This window comes from Homo sapiens, chromosome 18 (genome assembly GCF_000001405.40).
Source record: "Homo sapiens chromosome 18, GRCh38.p14 Primary Assembly".
Classification (NCBI taxonomy): Eukaryota; Metazoa; Chordata; class Mammalia; order Primates; family Hominidae; genus Homo; species Homo sapiens.
In genome coordinates this window covers 73,254,615-73,269,931 of record NC_000018.10, presented here as the reverse complement: position 1 = coordinate 73,269,931, position 15,317 = coordinate 73,254,615, and the positions used below count along the sequence as shown (strand labels likewise).

The following is a 15,317-nucleotide window of genomic DNA, read 5'->3' as shown; positions in this document are numbered from 1 at the left end:
GATTGTATTTTGTTGTGCACATTTTGTTGTTAAATACATATGAATCACTTTAGTGTCCATAATTTACATTCTATTTGATACATTTCAGAAGCATTCAGAACTTACGTATCATTAATTTGGAAAACTCAAATTTAGAAATTTTATTGCTCAAAATAATGGAAACAATCCAGTGGGTGAGATGTTTCTATAAAGATAGTTAAACAGAATGAGCTATTAAATTAACATTTTGAACTGTTAAAATATTTTTGTTTCTATTTTAACAGTTCATGATTCACAACCATTTTAAAAGATTCATTTCTCTAGATTCGTTTAAAAATTTCCCTTAAATTACTATATACAACCAGTAATTTGTAGTCTTTTTATTTACTCCTTTGAGTCATACTGCCAAGTGCCACACAGTCCCTTCCCTGAGGTCATTTCAAGTATCGGAAAATCTTGCTCTTTGCTGTGGAACGATGAAATGTGCATTTACTTGGAGTGAAATATAATTTAGATTATTCATGAAATTAACATAACATAAAAATAGAAGAGAGAAAAACAAAACAATTTTTGATAAAATAATTTTGGCTGTTAGCATAGAAATAATTTAAGAATAGAAAAATCACCACTTTGCAAATACCAATATAATAATTGATTCCGGTGAGAATCATTAACAGATGTTAAACAGGATGAAAGATGTTTGAAGAAGTTATTCGTGTGAAGCCTAAACATCATCCTTAGGGATTACTGACTAATAGCAAAGGGGAACATTTACCTGCAGTTGCACAATGGAAAGAACCGGTGGTCCACCTTAGCTAAGTGAGCAAAATCTGCCCAGCTGACCCAACATTTCAAAAAGTGACTCCCAATATCATGCAATGAAAATACCAAACTATTGGTTAGTATCGTTGAAGAATTGTTTAACTGAAACTTAATTTTTAAGTAATACACAATATTTTACTTATCTATGGGGTACATGGAATACTTTATATTTAGTGAAAATGTCACACAAACCTAGAATATTGGGGAATAAAATCTGCAAAACTGTATAGACTTGACTTTCAAAAAAAATCCTTATCATAAAAAAACAAATAAACTTGGTTGCCTTCAAGATTCAAAAGTTACTAAATGGGCATGGGCATAAAAACCAAATATTCCATGAAATCCTTAATTTTATATTGGATCAAATCAGAACTGTTATAGCAATATATAAAATTTGAACATGGATTGAATGTGATGATATTTTAAGATTATCATTTATTGTTTCCAATATGGTAATGATATTGCAGTTATGCAGAGAAGGCCCTTAAGCTTAGGAGATGTATGCTAAAGTTCATGTAGGTTAGGTATGATTATGTCTGCAACTTACTTTCAAATACTTATACCCTGTATTGAGTTATGTACATCCATACGCACACATATGCACACACACAGGTACATACATACTCTTATGTTGATTATATATGTTTTGGTTATAAACATATATAATAAATTTGAGCATAAGCATACATTCATCTATCTATATACCACCACCCCCCTCTATACATATATATATAAACTTCAGATAATATATAGACTGACAGATGAATAGACTAAGCAGTAGATCAATTGATCAAAATATAGATAGATGTACATATCTGTATGTTTTGGATCCCAAGACTCATTTTTCCAACTGCATCTCTGCGTGTACAAACTCTATGATTGTTCTTTTTATGGATTGAAAAATCATCCAACATTTACAGAAAAAATGAAGAAAAGATGGCCAATATGATGGCTGTTGTCCATTTTCTCCTATTCTAGCCTAGACGTATCCTCTAAATTTTTGTGCCTCAATTTATGCCTCAGGATGCTTACCTCTAGAGACTGTATCATTGAAATCCCTTGCCTGGAAACTTTTAAAAGCTGATCTTTAGTATACCGTGTAGCACAATTACCTTGCCTTTTCTGAACATCAGAGTCTTGATTATAATTATAATTGTGTTAGCATTATTATAGAATCTGTGCAGAACACTGGGTCATGTGTTTTGCTCATATTCAGCTCATGTACTTCACTAGTAGCAGGTGTGGATATATAACAAATGCTAGATGTGTTCTGTAGTCATAAGTTTTCTAGAGACCACTGAAGGGTCTGTTGAGAATGAATAAATCTCCACAATGAAATAAAAAGCACATCCAGGCAGGGCGCAGTGGTTCAACCCTGTAATCCCAGCACTTTGAGAGGCCAATGCAGGAGGATCGCTTGAGCCCAGGAGCTCAAGTCCAGCCTAGACAACATGGAGAAACCCCATCTCTATATAAAAAAACACAAACATTAGCCTGGTGCAGTGATGCAGGTCTGTAGCCCTAGCTACTCGGGAGGCTGAGGTGGGAGGATCCTCTGAGCTCGGAGAGTTGGAGGCTGCAGTGAGCCGAGATCATGCTGCTGCATTCCATTCTGGGCCACAAAGTGAGACCCTGCCTCCAAAAGAAGACAAAAAAAAAGAAAAGCATATGCATTTTGCTTTATATTAACTGTGACATAAATATATATCTGTTATAAAAGATGTAGATTAAGATTCTGAAGTAGTGCTAGCTTTCTCTTAAGAGGGGTCTAGTCAGAACTGTGATCCTATATAGCCAAGTCTCTGCATTCATTAGCTTCAGATTCCTCTTCTCTCTGCTATGCCTGTGCATATTCTGCAACCACACTCCCACACTGTTGACCAATTCCATCTCCACTTGGATTGACTGTGTTCTTTAATGTACTGTCCTAAAGCTAACTTTACTCTTAGGCTTGCTCAAGGCTCTCTGCAAATTCTCATCATGATTGGATTCTGCGAAGCTTTGCTTCTTTGAAAACATTCTTAATAATGTTGGCTGTCTTTTTGGTGTAATTCAGGGATGATTAACAAAGTGGTTGCTGATAAGAAAATAATATAGTGCAGCTCTGAATAATATATTGTAGGCCTTGATTAGAATTCCATGGACTTTTGACCTGGGTGAGAGATTCACGTACTATGTGAATATCTAGTTTCTTCTTCTATAAAGTGGGGAACAGTAATACCTATCTGATAGTCTTATTGAGAAGATTAAATGAAAAGAAGGTAGAATAGTAAATGGCACATGGGAATTACTTAATCAATGTTACCATTGTTATTACTAATAGTGTAGTACTTTTATTATTATCAGACAAGTTGATTTCTGAATAATTTTCAAAGTAAAAAAACCACTTTTATTATAGAAGAAATTAATGCGCACAATGACATTGCCACTTCATTAAAATTCTTTCATCTACACCTAACTAAAACTATTTAGGATGTTTCCCTACTTAAACATTTCTTGCTTAATGTCACAATGCCTGTATTAATTGCCACAGAGTGAATGTTGCCTCACTAAAAGCCAAAGCCTTCTTCTGTATATATTCAATTATTTAACCATTCAGTCCTGTAAAATTGACATGACTCTACTAAATACATTAAAAGATTGTTCATTGGTATTGAGATAATTTTAAGAGAAAAATATTTTAATGATTGCTTCATTAGATATCCTGATACTTGTGTTTGAAGGAATCTAGTGGAATAGTAATTGCCATGCAAATACATTTTGAAAATGATCCTCAAATGTTTGTTTTAAACAATTAATATATTATAAGAAATCCACTGTATTCTTGTACAGAATAACATACACCCTTGAGTTCATTAGCTACACGAAGTGAAACCATTTAAGCTACTAATTAGCAAACAGGTAAATGCACAATGAATAAATCAATTTCCATCACTGAAAGATGTTTCTCAATGCATCTGTTGATATTAAAACCTTTTGGGCCTTCAAAACATTCTGTTTCTTTTTAATCCAAGTGAAAAATTTTATTAATTTCTAGAATGTGATGCTTAAAGGTTACATCTGAATATCAAATAACTTTCTAATTCCTAAGAACTAACATTTGTAAGGCTGATCACGCTTGGGAAAAATAAAATCACTAGATGATAGTATGTCCAATTTTGAACCATGACAATAGCAAACTTAATCTTTTTAATATCTAAAGCAGATTATTTGACTATCTTTTGCTCTACATGATGAAAGTGTTTCAGTAATAATTATAAAACGTGTAACATATTTCGAAAGATAGGCATTGCTTTAATTTTCTCCACTTTTGCCTTATTTATTAATTAATCTATTTATTGATTGAGCTTCACAAGGTCAATGCTTTGTGACATTGTTGGCAAGGGCAACTCCTTTAAAATTCTTATAGAATTCAGAATAATTAAATGCTAGTGGCTGGTTTTGTAAATATATTTAAATTACTACAAATTCCTCCAAATTCCTGCAGGATACAAAAAGTATAAGTCTTTACGCAATAGTTTCTATATCTGCCAAAAAATTTGAACATTCATCACTATAACCAAAGGCTATTCTATTAGTTTACAGAAATAATTATCAAGGAATTAATAATTTTATTTAATAAAGTTAATGAAACCAAAACATCTGCACTAGTGATAACTTGAAACCTGCATCAGATTGGCCATGCTGGGAATTTAATTTCTATGCTCTTGAATCACTCTTTTGTTTTAAAACTAGCAACTCAGAATTCAAAAACAAATGTCAAAACTGAAAACATTAGTTAAGTCAAATTTTGTATGAATTGTACCAATTACAAATTATCATACCTCATATACTGTTTGAAATTTTAAACTCAAATAAAAAGGGGCCACACAAAGTTTGAACTCTACAATGAACCCTTTTTTGATCTTCACCTCGTATCAATTCCACTCACCGCCACACCTTTGGCATGAAAAGGGAATAGATATTTATGATATTGTGTCTTTGGAGAAGAAGAGAAACATTTTGAGTTAGTTACTTTTATTTCAGTATGGAACTGGCTTACAGTCCCCAGTGCAGCCTTTTCCAATTTGTTCCTGCACTACATATAAACATATTTTAAAAAGATGTCAGAATTTCTAAGGAAGTCATCCTAATTTAAGGTGAATGAACTAAAATGAGAATATCTACAATTTTCATCACCCAATATATTAAGATTTGTCTTTATAAAATAGTAACTGAAAATCAGAAGAATGATGTTTTCTACCTCTTTCTCCCATGTAGTCCCTCACCTAAAACATAGCAATTGTTCCCTGAGCGCTTCCTTTACTAGCCTTCCCTGCAGCGCCCCAGGAAGCCTGTGGATCAAGCAGACGAGTTAATTGGCCTTTCTGCAGGAACTGAGAACACCACCTTGTGAGGCTCATGGTTTTAGGGTTTGGGGGTACAGATTCAAATAATTGACAGTGAGTCTTTCAAATGAGGAGCATGAACTTGAAAACATGATCCACAATAGTCTGGGATTTGTGGACACAGCAATATGAAGTTCTTTTTTTTTTTTTTTTTTTTGAGTCGGAGTCTCACTCTGTCGCCCAGGCTGCAGTGCGGTGGCGCGATCTTCGCTCACTGCAGGCTCCGCCTCCCGGGTTCACGCCATTCTCCTGCCTCAGCCTCCCGAGTAGCTGGAACTACAGGCGCCCGCCATGATGCCCGGCTCATTTTCTGTGTTTTCAGTAGAGACGGGGTTTCACTGTGTTAGCCAGGAAAGTCTTGATCTCCTGACCTCGTGATCCTGACCTCGGCCTCCCAAAGTGCTGGGATTACAGGCGCGAGCCACCGCGCCCGACAGCAGTTATGAAGTTCTAAAAGCAAGTCTTAATCAGGAAGTGTCCTTGATCACCAACGGCTCGCCCAGGTGAGTAAGCTTTTTTCAGGAAAGCTGTTTTCTCAAAGTCCTTAAGTGTTGGGTAATTGTTTGGTAGAGACTTCCTGGAGTAAAAGGTAAAGTTAATCATTGGTTTATAGGATTTCTTTCTTGACAAGTGCTTCTTAGAACAAAAACTGTGGATACAGTGGTCTCATATCTGGGATCTGTCGGTTTTGCCGTGTTCTGCTGTGTGGACATGGGCACACTCAGGTCTCACCGAGCTGCCTTTAGAAAAGGCCCTCCACTGGGCTGCCCTTATAGCTCCCTCACCTCCCTTCCACGCATCAATATTCATGCATTTAAGCTGAAATTCTCAACCCTGTAAATGACAGGAGTAGAAGTTGGTAATACTTTCTTCTCTCCTGATGAAACATTATAGATGGGGCAAATAAGGGTAAAGAGTAGATGCAGGTTGAGTTATTTTAGAACTAAATTATCAGTATCACTAATCAGACAGTGAGATTTAAGGAAAAGTGTTCTTCAAAAGAAGAAATGAGTTGCTACAGAGAAAACAGTGACAGTTGGGGAATAGTGGGAACATTAATGGGATCTGCTTAAAGGGATTTGCCTACAATTGTACCTCAGAGGGCTGCATTATACCACAACCCACTGTGCAGGATTCAGGGAAACTTTCCCTCTCACTCTGAAGATTAACATCTAGTTTGGTCTAATTCAATTGATTATGGATAACTTAGAGGAAATGTAATAGAACAAATTGAGACCTGTATCTTTAATATTGCAGAGTAAGAGGGAAACAAGGGAAAAGGATATTGATATAAATTATAACTCATTTCCAGCCAGTAATATATCAATAAGTAGGAAAAATAATTTAGAAGTATGAAGCTCTACAATTCATAAGGTTTATTTAATGTATGCATACATACGAAACTTTTCCCATATATATGGAATATGAAATTCAAAGTAAAAGGCAATGCTTTGAAGGTAAGCATCTTTGAATAATGAGCATGAGTAATAGATTTACTATGAGAGAAAAAAGTAGAATAAAACCTTATTCAATTTCTAGAAGATAAAAGTATATACTTATGGCTACTAGAAAATAACAACGACCTTATGTGCATATAAATGCATTTATGTAAGTCAAACTCTTGAATATTAAAAAAATCATTCTCCTGAGAAACTCTTACTTAGAAAATAATGACAATGCAAAAACTATTGAAATAAGTAGGATTGAAAAAAAAACTTAGTGGATAAATCATGCTTTATATTTCAATTGAACAAAACGTTACAAATATATTCCCCTTTATTAAAAGAAGGAATTTGGAGGCACTGCTACCCTCAGGCAAAAAACCAATATAATGTTTGACATTTTGGGGATAGTGAACAAAGAAGGTGATAAACGTAGTGACAGCAATACGCATTTTTTCTGTTATGAACATTAATATTTATGCCTAATTTGAGAAGCTGCAACAATAATAATACAAAATGCATTTGGGGAAATTATAATAAGGTAATTTTAATGCTCTTGTATTATATTAAAAGGGAGTAGTAATAATGATTAATTTCAGCCTTCAATAATTTAATAATGCATAGTAAAATTTCAAGGGTAACCACTTTAAGAATCAAGGTAGAGTTTATAAGTCACAACATGAAAATAAAATGAAAGAGGGGACAAAATGACATTTTAAACTTCAATCAAAAAAGACCAGATAGAAAAAAAAAGAGAAAATATATAAATATTAGAAATATATCAGTAATGAAAATACCTAGATTTATCAGTTCTGCAAAAGGAGATAGACAAATTTTTCATTGAAGTTTTTTTAAGTTGAGAACACATACCTAAATTCAAAGGAGATTTAAACAACACACAAATATCGAATTGAACAAACATAAATAGAAATATATACTGCCAAACTCAAGAAGGTGAATTTCTACGAAACACTACAAAAGTGCTTATACAATGGGCCCCAAGTAATGTCCTAAAAATTTCAAAAAATCAGTGTCATACAAATAAGTTCTTTGATCACAATGCAAATAGCCAGAAATCAATAAACAAAAGATAAAGTTACAATTGAACGCCAAAAGAAAAACATAGTTTAACATATTCCATGGATCCAATAAAAAATAAAATAGAAATTACAGGATATTGCATCATAAAGTCTGCCCAAACTCAGACACCAGGCTTGAGAGACCTACCTTAAACTCATCCAATCTGAATTCTAAATCCTTATGTTTTCTTTTTTTTTTTTAATTTCCCCAATTTGAAACACTATTAAGATTCTGTCAAGGTAGTGTTCTCTGTTACTGCACTAAATCTAATAACCTTAGTTTTGCTTGATTAATGTGTTTTTCTGAAACCTTCTGGGGCTCAGCATTTGACAGAAGGCATTTAATGTGAAATTACATTAAGGCATCTTAATAGATGAGCATTACCTGAACCCTAGCTTTCTGTGTTTTCAGTGAATTGGGATGAATGATTGTTGCGTGGTTAATATTTTTTACTTACGTGCAAGACAAGGGGCTAAAGTCTTTCTTCCACGAAACAGAACCAAAAAGCAATAACAATGTTACATGACAAAACTTCAGTGATGCCGTAAAATATCATATTATGGAAATTTAAAACTTCAAGTGCATACATTTAAATAATAACTCAGGCTGTCGAAAGAAAAACTTAGGTAAATTAAATTTAACAGAGTTTAAACAAGCAAAGAACAATTTGTGAATTGGGCAGGCCACGGGACCAGAACAGGTGCAGTGTGACTTGGGCTGCCACGTGGTCAGTAACATATATCAACAGAAAAAGGATAGTGAAGTTTGGAAAATGGAAATGAGGGACAGAAACAGCTAGATTGGTTACAGCTTTGCTTTTGCCTTATTTGAACAAGGTGTGAACAGTTGGCCACCTGTGATTGGTCAAAGGTCAGCCACTGTGATTGGCTGAGACTTTGCTACTTGTTAAAAGTAAAAACGTGTTTACACATCTAGTGGATTAAAGTTCACTATGTATGGAGAGACCTTTAGGTGGAATTTAAAATATGTAAGGAGGCAGCTTTTTGGCCAAACTTAATTTGACAAGACTTAACGGTAATTATGCAAACATCCACATAAAGAAATAAACAGATGCAAAAATAAATAAATAAATAAAGAATACAACCAGTAGAAAAAGAAAATAATAAAGAAAAAAATAAATGAATAAGACATCAAAAGCTAAGTTCGAGGGCATCAAAAATGACCTTTTGTAAGCACATTTTAAATGTGCTTACAGAAAATGTTGTTTTTTTCAAAACTGATAAGCAAGTTACAAATTAAACTATGATCAGTAAAAAGGAGTTAATGCCAGTAAGCCTGAATTTGGAGTCTTTCAGATAGCTTTATTCATCCTTCAGTGGAGTGCTTTCTAAGACATTTTTAAAGTCACAATTGAATTTCTTTTCTTAGAGAATAGCATCAGTCTCTACTGGTAGAAATTAGAGGACAGAAAAGAATATTTGTCTTCCTTTTACAATTTTTCTTCTTTTATACTAACGTGTAACACCACATTAATAATGGCAAAGTTTCTATGATGCCTTCTTTGTTATAGCATATTTTTCTGATTTCATTAAAACTTTTCCTGGTTTCAGCTATTAATTCTCTGTTACTAACATGAAAAATGGAAGGAAGCTGGCTATTTGCCACAATGATGTTAGATTCCAGGTTTAATTTTTTCACCGCAGGGATGTGTGTGTGTAAGGTGCATGTCCACCTCTCTCTCATTATCTATCAATTTTGCTATTAAGCCCAAGGATATATATATCATAGAGATGAATAACAAAACACAAACTTTACTAGGAGATATTCTGAGTATCAATAAAGCAAATGCTTTTAACCTCAACTGACAAGGAATCTGCTCTTGTTAATCTACGTTTGCTATTGAAATCAGAGCATTTTATTCTCTTCAGCAAAGTCGGCTTTATTCTTGTATTTTTCATTTATTACCACAGGGAGTAGAACCTTGTTCTGGCCTCTAGAGTCCTGCTGTTTGGAATAGGCTCAATTTTTTATCAGTCTGAACATTTTCAATCCAGGTACAGAAATGTGATCTTCAGATTATGCATACTATAAATATTCATCATCTCCTGTTTTTCAAGTATTTAAATAAGCATTATATTTGTATATCAATGCTGCAGGAAAATTAAGTCTTATTTTGGTGTGGCGTAAAATTTCATCTAGGCAAAAGGACATAAAAGAAAAGTATTTGTTTCATAGATATATGTACAGAAAATATACAATAGCCTTAAAATCGTTTCTGCTCTTTAAGCAATATGAGAATACATACAAAGACATCTTCCTAGCCCAATATATTCTTTGATTTTGATATGCACTTCTTAAGTTATAAATGGTTTTAAGGACTTTCCTTATACTTTCTGAGAGTTTCTAATTTTTCTCTATTTTCTGTAATCATTAATTTCCTTTACTAATTTCTGTATTGAATCTATTTTCTTTATAAAAAATATTTTCTCCGAACTTTTTCCAAATTAAAGCTATAAACCCCATTGCTTTATATTTTTCAAACTTTTCAGTGTCTCATTTCATATTAGTTTTAATTTTCTTTTCATGAGATTTAATTTTTATGGAGATTTTTATTTGTTCCTTTATAAATTCCGTGTCTTCCTGAGAAAGCCTCTAACATTTCAGTTAGAAATAAATTTATCCAAATTACTTCTTGTGTTTTGAAGGTTTTATTTCATTTAATCATTTAATATTTGACTGGTATTAACATTATTCCACTGTAAAATGAACTTGTATAATTTATGATTATTTATATAGAAAAGCTGTATTAGTTTTTCTGTTGCTATAAAAAATTTATTATTTTTTTCTGTTGCTATATTTAAAAATCAAGCTAAAGCAGCCACTCCTACCATCACAAACACACACACACACACACAAGCATGATTCTATACACACACACACACAAATTAGGACCTTTTTCTCCTTAAATCCCAGCAATCATTGTCACTACAGATATCATAAACAGCAGGAACAGATGCTCAAATGTGCCCTTAGGGCAGCCTCGCATGCTCTGAAAGGTATAGCCTTATGGTAGATATAATTCCAATACTTTTTAAAAGTGAGAATTAAAAAAAAAATTAGTTGTTTTTACCAAGCTAGCAAAATTGATAAGGAAAACACAAAATACTTCATTATTGTGTATGTCTTGATTTTATAACTAGAAACCCAAAGAACATCCATGATTAAATACCCACTCGTCTGCACTAATTTGAAATGCCACCTGTAGTCTGGAACACATTTCTGTTCTCAATGATATTTTCCAGTGACGACCACACCGGTGTCTATCCTAGTCACTGCCCTTCTTTCTTCCGTGACGTTGACACTGCCCCAGTGAGAGACGGGTCTGTTCCCTTCCCTCGAACCGGAGCAGACCTTTGTATCCAGCTGGACTGACAGACTATAATGAGAATGATGCTATGTGACTTCTAAGGCTGGTCTGTAAGAGGCTTCTCCCTTGTTACCGTCTTTCTTGGGAAATGCACACTGGGAGTCCTGAACCTGTAAATTAAGTCCAGTTATCCCAAAACCGCCAATGAGAAAAGAGACCATAAATAAACTGAAGGAGATTCCTGATGGGAGCCAGGAGTCTTAGGCCTCAGCAGTTTGAGTCTTCCCAGTCTGGGGTTCAGACGGCCAAGGGTGCCCTTCAGATGCCTCCAGGGCTCTAGTGGTTGGAGCTGACACCAAGAGGATCCCAGACAAGCTGCCTCTTCGGAGGGCTGCCCAATTTGCAGATTTGTTATCTAAAATTTGAAAGTGGTGTTTCCTATGACAATTAATAATGGAAACTATTTCCATGTATCTTTCATTATTTTACTATAACTCATTGATCTACATTTTTATTCCCCTGTAGATACTAGCTTCTAAAAATTCCTCTACCTTTAAAAGATCAAATGTAGCAGGGAAAAAAAAATTTTTCCTATTACTCAAAATATCCTGGGTTTTTTTGTGATTTCTTTTTTGCTTTTTTTTCCAGAAAACCAAATTAATTTAATATCTCCTAGCAAAACAAATCAAAACAAACAAACACTATTTAGTTAAATTGTTATCCCACTGAATGTTCAGAAGAATTAAGAAATAATTGCTAGAATCATTCCCTAAGCTTGAAGAGCAAGTTATGCTTTAAAATTTTAAGACATATGTTTTGATTTAAAGAAAACGTTTTACAATTGTATTTGTATAAGCTAATATAACACAGACTATTTCCTTGCAATAAAAATGCTCAATAGATTTAGTTATTATTATAGGCTTGTGAGTTTTTTAAAATTTTTGTCTTTTGATAAGTTAATTCCATTATATTTTAAATGGTTATTTTATTTTTAGTATTGATTTTGCATATTAATTTTATAACCAGTCATCTTTTTACCTTCTTTTTCCATTTATAAAATTTTAGATTATTTTCTTTGGGTTTCTAGTTGTAAAATTGGGACATATAAAATAATAAAGTATTTTGTGTTTTCCTTATCAATTTTGCTAGCTTGATAAAAACAACTAATTTTTTTTTAATTCTCACTTTTAAAAAGTATTGGAATTATATCTACCATAAGGCTATGGCTTTCAGAGCATGCAAGGCTGCCCTAAGGGCACATTTGAGCATCTGTTCCTGCTGTTTATGATATCTGTAGTGACAATGATTGCTGGGATTTAAGGAGAAAAAGGTCCTAATTTGTGTGTGTGTGTGTATGGAATCATGCTTGTTTGTGTGTGTGTGTGTGTGTGTGTGTGTGTGTGTGTGTGTGATGTGAGCAGTGGCTGCTTTAGCTTGATTTTCAAATCTCAATTTTCTGCACTCTAGCTATGGAATTTGCTTGTCTAATGAATATATTGTGAGGAGATAAGATTGTTAGCACAGTGCCTGACAAGTAATAAGCAGTTAGTATATGTTCTCTCTAATATAATTATCACTAAGTGTGTACATTTTAGCTTTATTTTTTTGAAAAGCATTGTTATCTACGTAGATATTGAGCTTTTTTTTTTTGTATTTGTTTTGTTTTCTGATTGATCTTGTAACTGTGATGGAGTAAATGCAAATAGGATTACTTAGATAAGGAAAATATTTTTGTTTTAAGTGGTCTTACATTCAAAAATTATTTTTTAAAGATTTATAAGACCGTGGATGGTTTCAAACTTAAAAATATTGAGGAAAATTCCTCCTTGATAAAATAGAAGAATGTTTCTCTTGGATCATTTGTAAAAGGAAGTTACTTTAAATTTGTGTTACTTCTGTAACATGATTTGTAGATCTTTATTTTTCTTTCGTTGTTTGAGATGGGGTCTCGCTCTGTTGTCCAGGTCAGAGTGCAGTGGCATGATCACAGCTCACAGCAGCCTCGTCCTCCCGGGCTCCAGTGATCATCGCACCTCTGCCTCCTGCAGGAGCTGGGACTATAGGCACAACCCCACTGTGCCTAGCTAATTTGATTTGTGGATCTGATCTTTTCATATCTGGATATAAAATATTTAGTATATTCTGTAGATCCTGATATATATCTTACGATCTTGGCCAATAAATATTTGTTTTATAGAATAATTCAACTTGACTGTATTGTACGTATCATGTTTTCATTTTTGTAAAATAAATGCCAAGAAGTGCAATTTCCAGGTTGTATTGTAGTTATGATAGTTGCATGTTTGTTTATTTTGGAAACCGCCAAACTATTTTCCACAGTGGCTGTACCATTTAACATTCCCATCAGCAAAGTTATGAGTAATTCAGTTTCTCCATATCATCACCAGCATTTGGTGTTTCACTATATTTTATTTTGGCTATTCTGATAGGTGTATAGTAATAGCTCATCGTGGTTTGAATGTGTATTTTCTTACCAGGTTGTGATTTTCAATATGTTTCACAAGTATTTTTTTGCCATCTATATCTTCCATGAAATGCTTAATCATATCTTTGGCCCATTTCCTAATTGAATTTTTTTCATTGTTGAATTTTGAAATTTTTTTTCTATATTCTAGGTACTAATCCTTTGTCAGATGTTGTTTTGCAAATATTTTCTTCAAATATGTAGGTTGTCTTTTTTATCCTTTTCACGAGAGCTCTCACAGAACAATAGCAATTAATAATGAGTTCTAATTGATCCATTTTTCCTTCCATGAATTGTGCTTTGGGTGTTGCTATGCTTTGTGGCTCCTGAAGTTCACGTGTTAAAAACTCAATTCCCAATGCTATGTTGAGAGGTGGGACCTTTAAAAGGAGACTAACGGATAAGCATTGTTACTGCTTGAGTGGGTTAGTTATTGTGGGAGTGGGTTCCTGATAAAAGAATGCATTTGGCTCCCTTCCTTTCTCACAGGCATGCTGGCTCTCTTCCACTTCCACCTTCCACCATGGGATGACGCAGTAAGAAGGCCATCAGTAGATGCCAGTCCCTCAACCTTGAACTTTCCAGACGCAGAACTGTAAGAATGAATCTTTGTTCATTATAAATTACCCAGTTGCAAGTATTCTGTTATGATAGTGTAGCACAAAATAGATTATTAAGATGAATGTCAAGCATTAGAATGTTAGTCAAGCTGTAAATCTCAAAAATTTTCCTCCTATGTGTTTTTCTAAAAGCTGATGGTGTACATTTTACATTTAACTCCATCATCCATTTTGAGTTAACTTTGTATAAACTGTGAAGTTTAATTTGAGATTGTCTATTTTATAGATGTTAATTGCTTTAGTAGCATTTATTGGAATGGCTTTCCTTCCTCCATTGAATTGCCTTTGCATCTTTGAAAACAGTGAATTGGGCATATTCATGTGAGTCAATTTCTGAGCTTTCTACTGTGTTCCATGGATCCATATGTCTATCTCTCCACAAATATTACCAAATCTTGACTGTAGCTATATTATGTCTTGAACTATGGTAGACTAATTTTTTCTGTCTTTTTCTATCTAAAAATTCATCTAACTACTATAGTTTTTTTGCCTTTCCATAAAAATATAAAATAATCTCATCTGTATTTACAAATAATTTTTCTCTCATTTTGAGATAAATTGCATTAAGATTGTATATCAACTTGGGGAAAATTGTCACTTTACTATGTTGAATCTTTAAATCCATTAACACAGTGTGTTTTTTGATTTCTTTAGATCTATGATTTCTTTCATCAGCATTTTGTAATTTTCAACATATATATCTGTACTTGTTTCATAAGATTATGCAAAATGGAGTATTTTTTTCTTTGTATTGATTGTAAATATTATGTTTTGATTTTCAGTCTTCACATATTCAATGTTAGAATATAAATATCTTGGTACTGTTTGGATATTTGACCCCTCCAAACATCGTGTTGAAATTTGATCCCCAGTGTTGGAAATGGGGCCTAATGAAAAATGTTTAGGTCATGGGGGCAAATTACTTATGAATGGCTTGGTACCATCCTCAGGGTAATGAATGAGTTCTCCTTCTAGTACTTCCCATGAAAGCTGGTTGTCAAAAGAGGCCGGCCCCTCCCTCCTCCCTCTCTTACTTCCTCTCCTGTTGTGTGATCTTTGCACATGCAAACTCCCATTCACCTTCTGTCATGAGTGGAAGCAGCCTGAAGTCCTCACCAGAAGCGGATGCTACACCCATGCTTCTTACGCAGCCTGTGGAATTATGAGCCAAAT

At 33.7% G+C, this 15,317-nt stretch overlaps 1 long non-coding RNA gene across 1 annotated transcript in view, besides 2 other annotated features; it reads left to right on the top strand.

Annotated features, from left to right (window-relative positions):
- Positions 5,434-15,317, top strand: part of LINC02864 (long intergenic non-protein coding RNA 2864) — a 110,441-nt gene continuing 100,557 nt past the window's right edge. The window contains exons 1-2 of the long non-coding RNA NR_034133.1: positions 5,434-5,692; positions 14,014-14,119. This is a non-coding gene — a long non-coding RNA (long intergenic non-protein coding RNA 2864). The remainder of the gene's footprint in view (positions 5,693-14,013; positions 14,120-15,317) is intronic.
- Positions 5,443-5,944: an enhancer, noted in NCBI's record as "H3K4me1 hESC enhancer chr18:70931223-70931724 (GRCh37/hg19 assembly coordinates)". NCBI's record gives its function as "activates a minimal SCP1, AML or CMV promoter by ChIP-STARR-seq in primed H9 embryonic stem cells {active_cell/tissue: H9 hESC(primed)}" and the evidence as "EXISTENCE:reporter gene assay evidence [ECO:0000049][PMID:30033119]".
- Positions 10,900-11,117: a silencer, noted in NCBI's record as "fragment chr18:70926050-70926267 (GRCh37/hg19 assembly coordinates)". NCBI's record gives its function as "represses an EF-1alpha promoter that drives an FKBP-Casp9 reporter gene in an ReSE screen in phorbol 12-myristate 13-acetate-treated (for megakaryocytic differentiation) K562 erythroleukemia cells {active_cell/tissue: K562(+PMA)}" and the evidence as "EXISTENCE:reporter gene assay evidence [ECO:0000049][PMID:32094911]".